The sequence below is a fragment of the Homo sapiens genome, chromosome 6, assembly GCF_000001405.40.
Source record: "Homo sapiens chromosome 6, GRCh38.p14 Primary Assembly".
NCBI classification, from domain to species: Eukaryota; Metazoa; Chordata; class Mammalia; order Primates; family Hominidae; genus Homo; species Homo sapiens.
In genome coordinates this window covers 127,966,915-127,983,390 of record NC_000006.12, presented here as the reverse complement: position 1 = coordinate 127,983,390, position 16,476 = coordinate 127,966,915, and the positions used below count along the sequence as shown (strand labels likewise).

The 16,476-nt window shown below is 37.2% G+C and overlaps 1 protein-coding gene across 4 annotated transcripts in view; it reads left to right on the top strand.

The window, feature by feature from the left end:
• The window catches only part of PTPRK (protein tyrosine phosphatase receptor type K), a 551,815-nt gene extending 537,209 nt beyond the window's left edge, over nt 1-14,606 (top strand). For all 4 annotated transcript variants that reach the window (NM_001291984.2, NM_002844.4, NM_001135648.3 and 1 more), the window contains 8 exons: nt 14-149; nt 411-560; nt 2,102-2,275; nt 6,337-6,468; nt 6,609-6,734; nt 9,564-9,727; nt 10,234-10,369; nt 13,111-14,606. In NM_001291984.2, coding sequence (NP_001278913.1) covers nt 14-149; nt 411-560; nt 2,102-2,275; nt 6,337-6,468; nt 6,609-6,734; nt 9,564-9,727; nt 10,234-10,369; nt 13,111-13,164 — 1,072 coding nt within the window. In that variant the 3' untranslated portion in view covers nt 13,165-14,606. The remainder of the gene's footprint in view (nt 1-13; nt 150-410; nt 561-2,101; nt 2,276-6,336; nt 6,469-6,608; nt 6,735-9,563; nt 9,728-10,233; nt 10,370-13,110) is intronic.
• Nucleotides 14,607-16,476: the final 1,870 nt, after the last annotated feature.

Here is a 16,476-nt window from a genome sequence, read left to right as displayed (position 1 = left end):
AATTGTTTTTCAGTGCTGGTGCTGGACGAACTGGCTGCTACATTGTGATTGACATCATGCTAGACATGGCTGAAAGAGAGGGTGTTGTTGATATTTACAATTGTGTCAAAGCCTTAAGATCTCGGCGTATTAATATGGTCCAGACAGAGGTATGTAGATTTACCTGTAGTGGACTTTTTTTTATTTTTTATTTTTTTTGCAAACAAAGAGTAGATGTCTCTCATATATACTCTACTCAACCGAAAGAGATGTTTTTCATGTGTAATCAATATTAGCTGAGTCATATAGAAAAATATTGGTGTTTTAATTCATATTTCCATATAGAGAAAATTTTCTGTATTTCCTAACTTTGATGACAGAAAAGTGATACTAAAACTAGTACAAAATTTTCTTTTTCATTCTTTTGGTAGGAACAGTACATTTTTATTCATGATGCCATTTTAGAAGCCTGCTTATGTGGAGAAACTGCCATACCTGTCTGTGAATTTAAAGCTGCATATTTTGATATGATTAGAATAGACTCCCAGACTAACTCTTCACATCTCAAGGATGAATTTCAGGTATTAACTATTTCTAAAACCTCTTTTGTGACTTACTACAATTTGTTCTGGGCGCTAGGAATCCTTTCAAGGAAGGTCTTTCAAGTCAAATTTATAACCTTTGATCCTGTTTTAAATACAATACGTATCTCTTTCATTATACATATTATATAGTCACTTTTCTATTGATGAATTTATATCTACTATATCCAAAATGACAAATAAGTTCAGACTTAGGGAAGAGCAAAGGGGAAAGGTATCATAAAAGTCAAAAATTAGGCCAGGCGCAGTGGCTCATGCCTGCAATCCCAGCACTTTGGGAGGCCGAGGCGGGTGGATCACGAGGTCAGGAGATCGAGACCATCCTGGCTAACACGGTGAAACCCCGTCTCTACTAAAAAGACAAAAAAAATTAGCCAGGCATGGTGGCGGGTGCCTGTAGTCCCAGCTACTCGGGAGGCTGAGGCAGGAGAATGGCGTGAACCTGGCAGGCGGAGCTTGCAGTGAGCCGAGATTGCACCACTGCACTCCAGCATGGGCAACAGAGCGAGACTCCGTCTCAGAAAAAAAAAAGAAATAATAACAAGTCAAAATGAGTGGTGATTTGTGTGTATTTAGTGTGTATTTATAGCCTTTTTTTCATGCAGTCATACAGATTTTGACCTGGGTCACTCACAATGTGATGAGATCAAGCACATTAATTATAACTGAGTCTGGGTTCAGTGGCAGCTCACACCTATAATCCTAGCACTTTGGGATGCCAAGGCAGGCAGATCTTGAGGTCAGCAGTTCAAGACCAGCCTGGCCAACATGGCAAAACCTCATCTCTACAAAAAATATAAAAAATAGCCGGGTGTGGTGGTGCATGCCTGTAGTCCCAGCTACTCAGGAGGTTGAGATGGGAGGATTGCTTGACCCTGGAAGTTTGCTTAACCCTGGAAGGCTGTGGTGAGCCAAGATATTGCCACTGCACTCCAACCTGGGCAACAGAGTAAGACCCTGTCTCAAAAATAATAATAGTAATAATAATAATAAATGAAGTTTGTAGTACATGTTATTTCAAAATAGCCCTAAATGTTTTCACTGCCCTTAAAACACCCCTGAAGGTGGGTGAAAATAAAATCAAGGGCAGAGACCAAATTCTTTGATTGTTGATCCAGTGCTCTTTCCAACATGCCATAGCTTATCTTCAAATATGGCAAGCCCAGATGTTACTACAAATGATACCGTTTCCCAGTGTGATGAAGGGTCATTATCATAATGGACTGCCCGATTGCATTTTCTTTGGTTAAGGCAATGCATTTTGCAGGTAGCAGTGTTGTTTAGCGTACCTTTTCCTTTTAAGAAGAGGAGCCCTGAACAATGTGTGTCTTGTTTCTTTGTCACTTCTCAGGCTTCATTAGCTTTAACTACAAGGTCTATCAGCCTGTCATAGTAGCAAATGCCATTGCCTCGCACAAATCCTTCACTTTCTACTTGGCCTTCTAAATTCCTGATGGATCTGTGTTATACTGTTAAATGGGTCACACTGTCTTTTAACCTGGGTTCTCTTTTCTTTTTAGACTCTGAATTCAGTCACCCCTCGACTACAAGCTGAAGACTGCAGTATAGCGTGCCTGCCAAGGAACCATGACAAGAACCGTTTCATGGACATGCTGCCACCTGACAGATGTCTGCCTTTTTTAATTACAATTGATGGGGAGAGCAGTAACTACATCAATGCTGCTCTTATGGACGTAAGAGACTGCCCTCTTTGTTAGTGTAGAGTGTTGTGGAAAGCTACATAATGCAACTGAACACTGGCTAGTTTTCTTTTCGAGGAAATTAAAATAACCTAAAAAGGAAAAGTGGAAACTTTTATTGAAACACATTTTTTTGGAAAATGATTTTAGGTTTTCCCTATAGAGATTCTTAAGAACTGTCATTTTTATAGCTTTATTGTAGATTTGGAGCTTGATTGTCAATTATTATATTCATGTAGTAAATATTGCAAGTTATAAATTTCATCTTAATTATTTTCAGAAAAGAAAATCATGCCTTATCTATTTTGAATATAATTAGAAATGAATTTTTTAAATCACAGAATGCCAAATCCTACAAAAATCATGTTAATTTGGGAAATTTTTATTTCTGACATTTAATGTTTCAATAATTTACAATTAATTTGTTGGCCATTAATCAATAAGGACTATTATAAGTAACTAGAGAGGGGATGGATGGTATTATGTTAACACATCCATCATAATGAAAGAACAATCTTGCCCCATTCTAAAATCTTAAATTGCAGGGTGTTATATAGCCCATAGACAGAACAATATGGAAAGAAAGTTTTCTGTTTTAGTTTTTGGTTTTTTTTTTTTTAGACAGAGTCTCACTCTGTCGCCCAGGCTGGAGTGCAGTGGCATGATCTCAGCTCACTGCAACCTCCGCCTCCCAGGTTCAAGCAATTCTCCTGCCTCAGACTCTTGAGTAACTTGGAATACAGGAGCGTGCTCTACCACACCCCGCTTATTTTGTTTGTTTGTTGTTGTTTTTGTTTTTGAGACAGAGTTTCGCTCTTGTTGCCCAGGCTGGAGTGCAATGGCACAATCTCGGCTCACTGCAACCTCTGCTTCCCAGGTTCAAGCGATTCTCCTGCCTTTGCCTCCCAAGTAGCTGGGACTACAGGCATGCACCACCATGCACGGCTAATTTTTTGTATTTAGTAGAGATGGGGTTTCACCATGTTGGTCAGATTGGTATTGAACTCCTGACCTCAGGTGATCCACCTGCCTCGGCCCCCCAAAGTACTGGGATTACAGGCGTAAGCCACCGTGCCGGGCCTTTTTTGTATTTTTAGTAGAGATGAGATTTCACCACATTGGCCAGGCTGGTCTCAAACTCCTGACCTCATGATCCGCCCACCTTGGCCTCCCAAGGAAAGAAAGTTTTAAATTATGACTTTGGCCACTTTACTTTGATTATGTTGGAAAGAAGCAAGAAAGCTATCATGGTTTATAATCTTTTTAAACAGTTTACTGCCTTCATTTCTAGCTTTTGCCCTTTCTCCTATGAAACCATATCAAGGAGAAATTAGAAGCCACGGTTCATTTCTTTCTGACTATAACAGGCTTTCTAAGTTATTGTTCCTGTTAAGCCCACATTCTGTTTCTACGAGTAGTCTTCACCAGTTACTTTACTCTTTTTGGTGCTGCAAAGCGGAATAGTCTAAAGGCAGGCTCTCGTCCTTGCTGTGGTCACTCTTGCCTGTGAAAAGCTCTCATCCTTGCTGTGATCGGAGTCTTGCCTGGCCATTAATCACATCCACTGAAATCACATTAAATCCTAATTATACCTTTTCTTTTTATATTAGGTGTCTGGAAAGGCAAATATACTAAATAGAGAGATGGCATACAATACTTTTTCATTTCTGCATCTAAATATGGAATAAAAAAAGGATGTGTGAACAAGAAAAGGAGAAAATAATAATATTTAGAAAAGCATTGATGCCTTTGAATTTTTTGCCATTGGCATCTTTGTCAAATTTTTCTCAATGTCCAGATTGTCTCCTTTTCTTTTCTTTTTTCTTTTTCTTTTTGAGACAAGCTCTCACTCTGTAGCACAGGCTGGAGTGTCGTGCATGATCACAGATGACTGCAGCCTCAATCTCCTGGGCTCAAGTGGTCCTCCCACCTCAGCCTACCAAGTAGCTAGAACTAAGGTGTATGCCATCATGCCCAGCTAATTTTTTTTTTATTATTTTTTGTAAAGATGGGGTCTTGCTTTCTTGTCCAAGCTTGTCTTTTTTTCTGTATGAAAGTTGAAGCTTGTAATCCACCTGCTCTTACTGTCTGCTTAATCCCCTGTGATTCAAAAAAAAGACATTTCATAGTTAAAGCTGTTCTGGGGATTTAGTAGTGCAAATGAACCGTTGGAGAAGTAAAGCTGGTTTGATTTACAAGAACAGGGTTTATTGTTCACTTCTTTCTCCCTACCCTTTATCCCCATCATTAGTACCCTTTTGCCAGGTCTATGAGGGATTAGGAGCTAGGGCCAAGAATTCTGTAATTTCAAAGCCTTACATATGTTCCTGCATTTAGAGGGAAAAAGAATAGGAAGTCTTCAGTCTTCTCCTCTCTTATCAGCTCCTCCTCATGCATATCCCCTCCCCTGTGGCTCAAAAAATGAGTAGATAGCCGTCAGTCTGCTTTGACTTACCTTTGCATGGAGCAGACATTTGATTGGAAGAAGAGCTTCCTTTCTTCTAACTTTTCTCATTGTATTAGTTCATTCTCACACTGCTAATAAAAACATACCTGAGACTGGGTAATTTATAAAGGAAAGAGTTTTAATTGACTCACAGTTCCACAGGGCTGGGGAGGCCTCAGGATCCCTGCAATTATGGCCGAAGGGGAAGCAAACCCGTCCTTCTTCTCATGGTGGCAGGAAGGGGAAGGAGTGCCAAGCAAAGGGGGAAGCCCCTTATAAAACCACCAGATGTCATGAGAACTCACTCACTATCTGGAGAACAGCATGGGGGAAACTGCCTGCATGATTCAATTATCTCCACCTGGTCCTGCCCTTGACATGTGGGGATTATTACAATTCTAGGTGAGATTTGGGTGGGGACACAGAGCCAAACAATATGACTCATGAACCTTCCTGCCTTTCTTAGGAGACACTCATCCCAGCTGCACGTGTAACTTGGTAAGGTTTTGAGGTCATTTAGAAGTAGCCAGGTAAATTATTATTGTCATCTACTCAGATTTATCCTGCAGTCTTCAGCCAACGCTGAATGCCATGGTTGGTAGCATTTCCCAAATGGTGGTAGCATCAGTGAAGTCCAAGAACCAGTTCCTGTGCTGATGTTAAGATTCTTGAAGGACTTAAATAGTAGTATGATACAAATGAGTTACAAGATCATTGAAAATTTTTGTCAGCATTAGGGAACTCTATAATCTACTAATTATTATTATTATTATTGCAAATAATTAGTTTAAATCAAATGGCAATTGTCCAGTCCAGATAAATATTGTTTTTACTACTTCTCCCTTTGGAAAGAGATAATATATTGTGTTCTAATCAAGGAGGACTTGGTTAACAAGGAGCTATCTCCCCGCTTATGTGGGGACAGGAAATATATTGCTGTTATGCTTTGGTGCTTCAGGATCTTAAATGGTTGAGACTGTCATTATGACCTTTGATATATGTTAGAAATGCCCAGGAAGCTGTGGAAGGTGGATTGTCTGCAAGATGTGCAGAATATCCTGGTAGTGTCCACATAATGTAAAAGCACAAGTGTTTGAGCTACTTGTGGTTTTTCTTATTTGGAGTGGAGAAGAGTAAAACAATTTTACTTGCACGCACACACACTATACACATACCCAGATGATTGATAGACATACCAGGGGTTTTGTGCTTACTTTGCCTTCAGCCTCTCAGAGACTGATTACGTTTGGAAAATTGAAATAGCCCAACAGGAACCTTACAGAGGATGTTAACCTCAGAAGCTTTTTAGTTTCTTCTTTTGTATTTGTCCTGTATTTACGTCTTTCAGTAAAGTAAAAACTCAGTTATTGACTTGAATTGCTTTGGAAGCATTGAAGTCTTCCACCAAATTGATTCATTACTGTACTAATTCAGTTCATTCCAGTGGTCTGAATCTCCTATTCCATGGTTTAATCATCACTCTGGCTCCTTCTGCATATGAAGCTATTGCATCTTACTGGTCCTACATTGAAGTGTATTGTATCTGTTTGTACAACCGATCATACATTTTAAGTTTTTATATTTCTCCATCTACCTTGTTTCTTCACAGAGCTACAGGCAACCAGCTGCTTTCATCGTCACACAATACCCTCTGCCAAACACTGTAAAAGACTTCTGGAGATTAGTGTATGATTATGGCTGTACCTCCATTGTGATGTTAAACGAAGTCGACTTGTCCCAGGTTAATGGCTATGGATTGCTTTTATGTACTTATATACAACTTAATAGAGTAGTAATGAATTGCTAAAATCTGCTTTATACTCTCCTAACTAGAAAAAATAATACTCTTTTTTTTTTTCTTTCAAAACGTTCATCATTTAGGGCTGCCCTCAGTACTGGCCAGAGGAAGGGATGCTACGATATGGCCCCATCCAAGTGGAATGTATGTCTTGTTCAATGGACTGTGATGTGATCAACCGGATTTTTAGGATATGCAATCTAACAAGAGTAAGTCACTATCGGATCCTTTGAGCTGATCTAGAATAGGTCAGTCATAACCAAGATGTGGTATAATTTTATTCAGACAACAGGGAGACTACAATTAATAAGCACTATATCATCCACCTCAAAGCTAGTAACCATCTTATGCCTTAGTACTCGAATAAAAATACAGGAAAACAGAAATGCTGGAAGCTAGGTTTTTCGGTCAGTCACTAGACTAGCATATTCTCTCAGGAAATACAGATGCACTGGCTCAGTCAAGTTGGACAGCCTAGGCCTGGCCTCTGAGTGTATGTAGACTTATCTTAAGGATGACTGCATGTTTTATTAGTATTGACATCCAGCCCAGAAATGGCATGTGATAAAAAAAATAAGAACATTGCAATAACAATAATGACAGAGAAACTGTACTGCAGGAGGAAAGAGACATGTTGGATCAACCATTATAGAAGGGTTCCATGTCACTGTTCCAAGTTCATTATTGATTATCCTACCTGCAATTTCATCTTCCTAAACGTCTCAACCTATGGCTCTAAGCAGATCTAAAGGTAGAACCAGTGCTGCTACCACCATGCCTTTTCCCAGCAGCAAAGTAGTAACTGTATCGTCTTTCTCTGACTCCTCATTTGCTTTCCACTACATGACAAATTCAATGTGGGTGGGGAAGATCTTAAAAAAAAAAGTGCTAATAAAGCCCGGGCACAGTGCCTCATGCCTGTAATTCCAGCACTTTGGGAGGCCAAGGCGGGCAGATCATAAGGTCAGGAGTTCAAGACCAGCCTGGCAACGTGGTGAAACCCCATCTCTACTAAAAATACAAAAATTAGCTGGACATGGTGGTGGCATGCCTGTAGTCCCAGCTAGTGGGGAGGCTGAGGCAGCAGAATCATTTGAACCCGGGAGGCAGAAGTTGTAGTGAGCTGAGATCACGCCACTGCACCCCAGGCTGTATAGAGCGAGACTTCGTCCCCCAAAAAAAGATATTAATAAAAACAATTTAGATTATGTAACCAAATAACAAGCAGAATTGGAAAAGAAAACATTAGTAACTTTCATGAAATTAAGCTCTTTTTAGAGAGAAACATTACTCTGTTTTTTAAAGCACCAGCTCTGTGGGTATGTATTTTAAGTGTGTGATTAGGATTATCATGTTTCAGTGTCTCTCATATCAAAATGACTACGTGTGTGTCTGGTTAATAAGTCTATATGTATATAACTATGAGCAGGGAATGGAATCATATCGACTCCTATTGCTCATTTCAGTGGAGAAAAAAAGGATAACTTCAATCATCTCATAATATTCATGCATATCTTAGATGTTAATTTAAATGGAATCTCATTATGTCTGCACATCTGTTACATTATGGTTCTAGTAATATTTGAGTTGGAAAAAAACAGAACTGCTGAAGACAGTAAGGCTTGTCTGTTAATTGAGCAGTTTATGTGAAAAATATTCTAGGAACAGGAACTGAAATGTTATATTTTTGTCAGCATATTTATTTATTTGTTTGCTTACTTATTGAACTGCCTCTGTATTTGGTATTCTGGTCCTTATTAGTACATGATTTTTTTTCTGTTCTCACTCTCATCATTTAATATATTTAATATATTTAACTGCATCAAACATTTAACATGTACCAACAAGTTTGTAGAGTACTAAGTAGGGCTTGTAATCTACCAAAAGATGCATGGGCTCTTGCCAATCTGATATGATTTACTCATATATTACATATTCTTCCTGATATTTTTATTTCAAGGTTTAAGGTTTTGATTCATTCTTTCAACACTACTACTTTTGGGGAAGTATTATGCAAAGTTCTACTGATACAGAGTGTAGGAAAAAAAGATTTCCGTGTACTTAAGGAATCTTTATTTTTTTCAGGAAGAAAAGCATTACATGAAAATTGTATAATCCTTTTTGTATAAAAGTGATGCATTTTACAGTGAAAGAGTAAAGAATATAGAGTGTTTAACTGGGTGATCTGACATAACTGTGTGATCAGAGATGACCTCTTTGCGATAGTAGTATTTAAGCCAAAATTTAATGAATCAATAGAAATTAGTTGGGGGTTGATGTAACCCACCATCCTGGTTTGCCCAGGGCAGGAGCTTTCCCAAGACACACAGCCTTCAGTGCTAAGACCAGAGAAGTCCCAGGCCAACCTGGGACAAGTTGGTCATTCTATTTGGGATTGAGAAGACCAAGCAAGGAAGAAGTATTCAAGGCAAAGGGTACATACAGTATATGCAAAGTCCCCAAGGCAAGAAGAGACTTGATATATGGATTAAAAGAAGACAAAGAGAAGGTTGAAGAAGGGGGTGGAGCCAGATCACATAAGTTTTTTTAAGCCATGACAACAATTTGGATTTTATGCTAAGATCATTTGAAAATCATTAAAGCAGGAAATGACAAGATTGTATCTGCAGTTCAAAATAATCATGATGCCTATAGTAAGAATGGACTGGAAGGAGATCAAAGTTTATTCAGGGAGATCAGCTAGGAGGTAATTATCAGAACCTGTGACTAGTAGTGTATTGATGTCAGTGGTGATAAAGAGAAGGCAATGAATCTGAAAGTTATTTAGGAAATGTAATCGTAGTAATGAATTACTGGATACATAGTGCGAGGGAGAAACAGGTATAAAGGATGATTGCCATGTTTCCTGCTGTTGTCACTTAGAATGTTTTTTTACTAGCATGTACATATTGAGGATTTATATCAGCTAGACTCAATCCAGTGTAGATGCCATTTGTATTGTAAATTATATGCACCTTTTACTTTTTAGTAAAAATTGTAGTCCCAGCGTATTTACATAAAAACACTTCCCTCTACAGCCACAGGAAGGTTATCTGATGGTGCAACAGTTTCAGTACCTAGGATGGGCTTCTCATCGAGAAGTGCCTGGATCCAAAAGGTCATTCTTGAAACTGATACTTCAGGTGGAAAAGTGGCAGGAGGAATGCGAGGAAGGGGAAGGCCGGACGATTATCCACTGCCTGTGAGTAGGGCAGCTCAGCCTGTCATTCATGGGGCCTTGGTGCTTATTTTCTCATTTTCAATGTTAAAGACTATCTGGCTTGCATCTTATGGACCTCCCATAGATGTTATTTTTAAACAGTCTTCCTGTCTCATGAGTCTATAATTAACTACTAAGTTTATTTTGTATATTTTCTAAATATTGATTATTATATAGCTATATTATTTAAACTCTTTGGAACACTACTCGTAACAACTTCTGATTTACACAGTTTACAAATATATCAGAATCTCAAAGTCTAGATTGCAGCAATCTATGCCTATAGCATTTTCCTGAGTATAAGCTACTGATCTAATTTCATCCTCAAGTTTTCTCCTCTCTGCCTTGTACACATATAAAGCAAAATTAAGACACAAATGGAAAACAATTAAAACTACAATGTCTTATTTTCCCAAACATATATGATGGTGTGACCTGTGGTCACTTGGTGCTGCTATCTAAAATGCCTTTGCTTTCTTTGCTTTCAGAAATGGTGGCGGGCGAAGTGGCATGTTCTGTGCTATAGGCATCGTTGTTGAAATGGTGAAACGGCAAAATGTTGTCGATGTTTTCCATGCAGTAAAGACACTGAGGAACAGCAAGCCAAACATGGTGGAAGCCCCGGTGAGTCACAGAATCTTAGATTTGGAAGGCATCTTAGAGATTAGTTAGTCATATACCTACTTATTGATTTGACTTCATACACACATAGGGAATCAGATGTGAAAATGAGACGTTGTGGGGACTTTCCTGCCTAATTAATACATTGCTGAGCATCCCCCTCTACCCACAGACACTTAATCACGTATTGCATAAACTGCTAATCATGAAACTATTTTCATTTAATTTGGGAAATTTGTAGGATTTTTTTTCTGTTATAGCCAAAAAATATTTGCTGCAGTAAACTTTGGTAAATGGTCCTATAAGAAGAATAAATCCTATATCAAGGCTGTATGTCTAAGGGATATAGGTTTCATCAGTACCTTAGACACCCAGTATTTTTAAAAGGCAATGAAATTTAGTTTTGTCATTATCTATAATTATTCATTCATTTTCTGATCAAATTGTAAATGGTTAAACTATCATGGTTAAGTTTTCAGCTTTTACCAACTGTAGAGGGCAGTTCATATCATGCTACTTGAGCTTGTCAAGGCTCGTAAAGTCAGAACATAGCTTACAAAATAAGAGCTGATAGGTATGTGTGTGTGTGACAGTTCATCTAGGTGAAGCTGTATGCAGAGTAAGAAAGAAAGTTACACTTATCTAACACATTTTACTTCTAACGAGAGATATCTGTGGGTTACACATATGTATGTGCATGGTGGGATCAGGTTGGGAGCAGCTGTGTAGTGTATGCTCACAGAAAAGTAAACCAGAAAAACCAAGGCATCATTGTTGCTTGCCCTACATTTATCAAGATGATCAGATAACTAGAATGAGCAATTCAATAAACCTTTAAAGTATTTCACCACTTCCTGCTCATGGATTGCTCGCACAAGAGTTGCGTTGCTTCCTGAGACAAAATCTGAAGACTTAGGTTTGTACTGTTTCACTTTTACAAGCGGTACCAGACTTCCACCCTTTCTACAGGTGTCCTCAAACTCCCTACACCACCTCATTTCCCTGGGTTGTTGCAGCTGTCTACACAAGATTACATTGGTTTTGATTGGGGTGCTGGCTATGGAGATGAGAAAGGGGGGATGAATCGGAGGGATTTTTGAGGGAGAACTCTCAGATCGTCTTAGCAACTAAATGAATAGTGGTTATGTCTCTAAACTTTGCGATTTGAAGATTTCTTGATGTAAACTCTGCCTCCATTTTTCAGGTCAAGTCTTAAAATCATCAGTGGGATCATTTCTGACTTCAGAATTCAACTTTTACCTTCAAATTTAACTGATTTCCCACCTTTTTTAATTAAAAAAAAAATCTATGGTTAAACTGTGCCATTCTGGGACCTTCCAAAAAGTTACTATTTTCCTTTACATTCATGTCCCGTGAATCCTGAACACCCCACCCTCTGATTTGTGTTTAATCAGTGTTGATGATTAGTTTAGTGAGCTGTGGAGTTGAGCTGAGGAGTTTGGTGAGGAGATTTAGAGTGAAGGCAATATTGCTGGAGACTGCTTAAAGAGACATAACTATTTCTAGGCACATTTTGGTTCCTTGAATGCACTCGCCACAGTGGTAGGTGAATTTGAATCATAACTACTTGGTGAATAGTGTTGGAATGATAAAGACCTCTTAAGGAAAGTTTTATTACCCTAGTTTATTGCTGGAGACACCTCGAACTTCTATTCCAAAATAATATGCATTTTAGACTGTTCTCCAGCCTGAATTTTACCCACTTGAATGAACTGAGTTGGGAATTTTTAAATGAATTGCATATTATAAGTAATAGTTTATGATATGGTCTCTGAATTTTTCTAAATTCTTATTATGGAGCAAGTCCATAGATGGGCTTAGAGGAAAGGCAGTTTTAACTCAAAAATTTTATTGCCAATATGTTGTCTTAAACATATAAAGGCAGCAGAAATACATTTTCAGGTATAAGTAGGCTCAAAATTTAAGGATCACTAACCATTCTTGAAAAATTTGCTTAAATACTCTGATGGACAAAAACAGTGTCAAAAATTAAGAACTTGAAATTGCATAAATGGCTGTTTAAAATGGCTGGCTTTTTTTTTCTCAAGGAAATCATCTGAAATATATGGAGAAAAACATTTGCAGTTTATCACTGTAGCATTATAAAATAGAGAAAAAAATAAAAGCAACTTAATAGTCAAACAATACATATATTTGATTTTTATGTGGTATTAAAAGATGTTAAATAACATGGAAAAAGAATTGTAACAATGTTAAATTTTAAAAGTTACATTTAAAATTATATTTTGAAATATACATAGTTATATTTATTCTAAGATAATTATTTCAACCATGCACAAAAAGAACTGAGGCAAACTAAGGTGATATTTTAACAATTTCTTCTGATGATAGAATTATAGCTCTTTTTCTCATTCTTTATGTTTGTTCAGAATGTGTATATTCTTTATATTTGTACAGAATTGTTCTGTAATGATCAAATATTACTATTATAAACAGATAAAAAATTATAGATATTTAAAAAATTGATAGAAAATATGCGGCAAAGATAAAATGTCTTTTTAAGATAAATTTCCTTTTTCTTAAATGGATCATTAGACTCAAGTATAAAATATGTATGCCTAGATATTAATCTCATATATAGAAAAAATAAATTGTAATCCTTGAGTAATCTAAATTGGTTGTCAAGTTTCATTTGGTAACTGTTATTCAACATTAGTCTCTTTCTTAAGTTTTCTCACTCTTTGTGTTTTGACATCTTTCAGGAGCAATACCGTTTCTGCTATGATGTAGCTTTGGAGTACCTGGAATCATCTTAGTTGGGTGAGACTCTTTAAAGTGCATCCATGAAGAAACCTGTCCATCTATTGAGCCAGCAGCTGTTGTACCTGTTACACTTGTGCAGAAAGATTTTAATGTGGGGGGTGGGAGACTTTTACATTTGAGAGGTAAAAGTATTTTTTTTATGAAGTTGTGTATCTTAATAAAAAGGACTGAATTAGTTTTTATTACTATATTAAAGCATCAACATTTCATGCCACATAAATTATATTTAATAAGAACCAGATTGAAATGAGAACGTATTGGTGTTTGTACAGTGAACATGCCACCTTTTTTCTCATGGTTTCAGTAGAGCAGCTACCACATGTTGCATGAGTTCATACTTTCTACGTGGCATTTTTCTCCCTTTCTAAAATGAAAGCTGATGAATCTTAAAAGGAAGAAGAAAAGAAAAGCTGTGCAAATTCATAGTAAAGTTCGTTTTTTATATGTTTCCAGTGTAGCAGATCTCTATATAAATATATAAATATATATAACTGGCTTATTTTCTTTTAATGTGCAATGATGGCTGGATCATTTAAAGTTCTTTTTAGAAAATAACATAAGCCAAAGACTCAAGTGTAAATATGTCTATATGGAGAAAGCACATTATATTTATTGGTTACTTACATTCCTTTTTTGATGGCTAAAATACTACCACCACACAATCATCTTTTTTTTCCTGAAGAAAGCTTTTTCTTTAGCTAAAATCAATTGTAAACGATTTTTGTAGATTATTTTTTGTATGTTTTAGTGTAAGTAGAAGATAAACTTTTTATTCATAAACCAGGAAGCAATGTTCTTTATAGTGATTCTCTTGTGTACATGCTTGTGAATTAAATTTGTGTAAAATCCCTTGGCAATTGGGTCTTTTAATATAGGACCAAATTAAAACATTTTGCTGAATATGTATAGTTTTTCACAATTTCATTAGGTAAATAATGGTTTGGTGATCATACATGAGAAATGTACACATTAAAAGGCCTTGCTGACAACTTGCACAATGTTGAACATAGCCTTTAAGCATCATTTAAATTTTAAAGGAATGGAGTTTTTCAGCCTGTGGCCCAGCACTGGTCAAGAAAACAAGATGGCAACATATATGCTTTCAGGGTCAAATTTGAGCAAACTGTAAACTGTCAGGGTGATAAAATGTTTCTCTTGATGTTTACATGCACAAGCTTTGCGTTCTGACTATAAAAAGTGTGAACAAATCAATGCCAGATTCCTGTTTTGCGCATTGTCATGGGATTCTTAAGTGAACCTTTCTAAATGTGGTCTTGTTCACATGCTCCACGTAGCTGTAACTTCACATCATCAGCTTGCAGTTTGTAATTGACTAAAGCATTCCAGTGTCCTCTTTCTAGATTGCCAGCTCATGACATGGTGCTTATAAAGATTTAATTAAAGTAAGAATGAAATAAAGTTTTTATAATTATAACAGTTATTGTTTGCACATCATTTTTTCCTCTTAATGTTTATGCATTCACCACTAAATGAGTAGCTTATTCCTATACTCGTTGATACAAGTAGGCCACAAAAACTCTATTTAAAGAGTAAAACTGATTTCCAACCTCTAGTTTCTTTTATTTTTATTTTCTTAATTTAATGCCAAAATGTCCAGTAGGTGGAGATGGAAAAGGCCAGGAGATTGACATCATTTTTTGTTTGTTGGTTTCTATATTTATCCATGTATGTAATACACATTTTCCATTTGTGTTTGTCACTATCCATTTATATAATACACATCTTACTTTTTTCTTATAACCAACATGACAAATGGTACTTATGATCCCTATTTTACAGATGATGAAATGGAAGCTAATGAGAAGGTACATGATTTGTCAACAGATTCATTCCTACTTAGCAGCTATGTCTTTACCACTAAACACATTGTTTCCCAAATGTCACAAAGATAGACAAAAAAATTTAGAATTTCATTTCTATTGTTCCTCATTAATCAATTTTCTCTTAAAGTATTATTATCATAATGGACATCTTCAATCTCCCATTTGCTATGTACTTTATTAGAAAATGCGTGACTTTTTAAAAAATTCAGATAAAGCAAACTTTTCTTAGGAAAGCTGATTTTCATTTAAACATGGAGGCATTTAACAAAAAAAAATCCACAAACTCGCCCAAGATTTTTTTTACCCGGTAATGTTTATTATGTTATCCTATAGAAGATTCTGTTTCACTGTGTGACACTGACTTCATTTCTGCTCATGACTGCACCACACACCAGCAAAGTTATCATGAGCACAACTGTCCACAAAGCTCAGAGGTCTGTGCAGCCTCTGTAATTCAAAGAACAAGAGTTCTCTTTCTTTGTAACAGGAAATTGAAATATCATGCTTGCTTTGTTTGGGCACCACAGAAGCCACTTGATCAGGAGACAATGGAAGAGGGGTTGCCTGTTGCTCTCAAAACTCATATTCAAAAGCTCATATCTTATACCCTTAAGGGCTCCCTAAGTAGTCTTGTGCATGACTATGTTCTCCGACACCCCCAGCCATGTCCCTCTGGGCGGATGTCCTGGTGCTGGCTGGGGGTGGGGTCCTCTTCCACTGGCACAGCTCTACATGCTTTTCATAGTTTAGGGCTTCCTATTCCTAATTTAGTTATTCCTTAAATGGCTGTCATGTCGTTGAATTTTACAGACCCCCTTTCTATAACTATCACTAAGGAGATGTTGGAAGTGTGTGGGCCAGAGACACACCAGCAACTGGGAATTTTTGAGTTTTAAAACCATTCTTGGAAATAAGTGTTATCTCTCTTAGAGTTGTCTCCTAGCCTTTTCTAATACTTAGGCTTTGGAGTCTGTATTAGTCAGGATTCTCTAGAGAGACAGAACTAATAGGATAAATATATAAAGGAGTTTATTAAGTGTTAACTTACATGATCACAAGGTCCCACAATAGGCTGTCTGCAAGCTTGAGGAGGAGGAGAGCCAGTCTGAGTTTCAAAATGGAAGAACTTGGAGTCAGATGTTCAAGGGCAGGAAGCATCCAGCACAGGCGAAAGATGTAGGCAGGGAGATTAGGCCAGTCTTGCCTTTTCACGTTTTTCTGCCTGCTTTATATTTGCTGGCAGCTGATTAGATTGTCCCCACCAGATTAAGGGTGGATCTGCCTTCCCCAGCCCACTGACTCAAATGTTAACCTCTTTTGGCAACACATAGACACACCCAGGATTAATACTTTGTATCCTTCAATCCAATCAAGTTGACACTCAGTATTAACCATCAGTCTTTAGATAAAGGTGTTGCTGTGTTGCAGCCAAATGATCTCTGACATTGAAAGATAAACAAA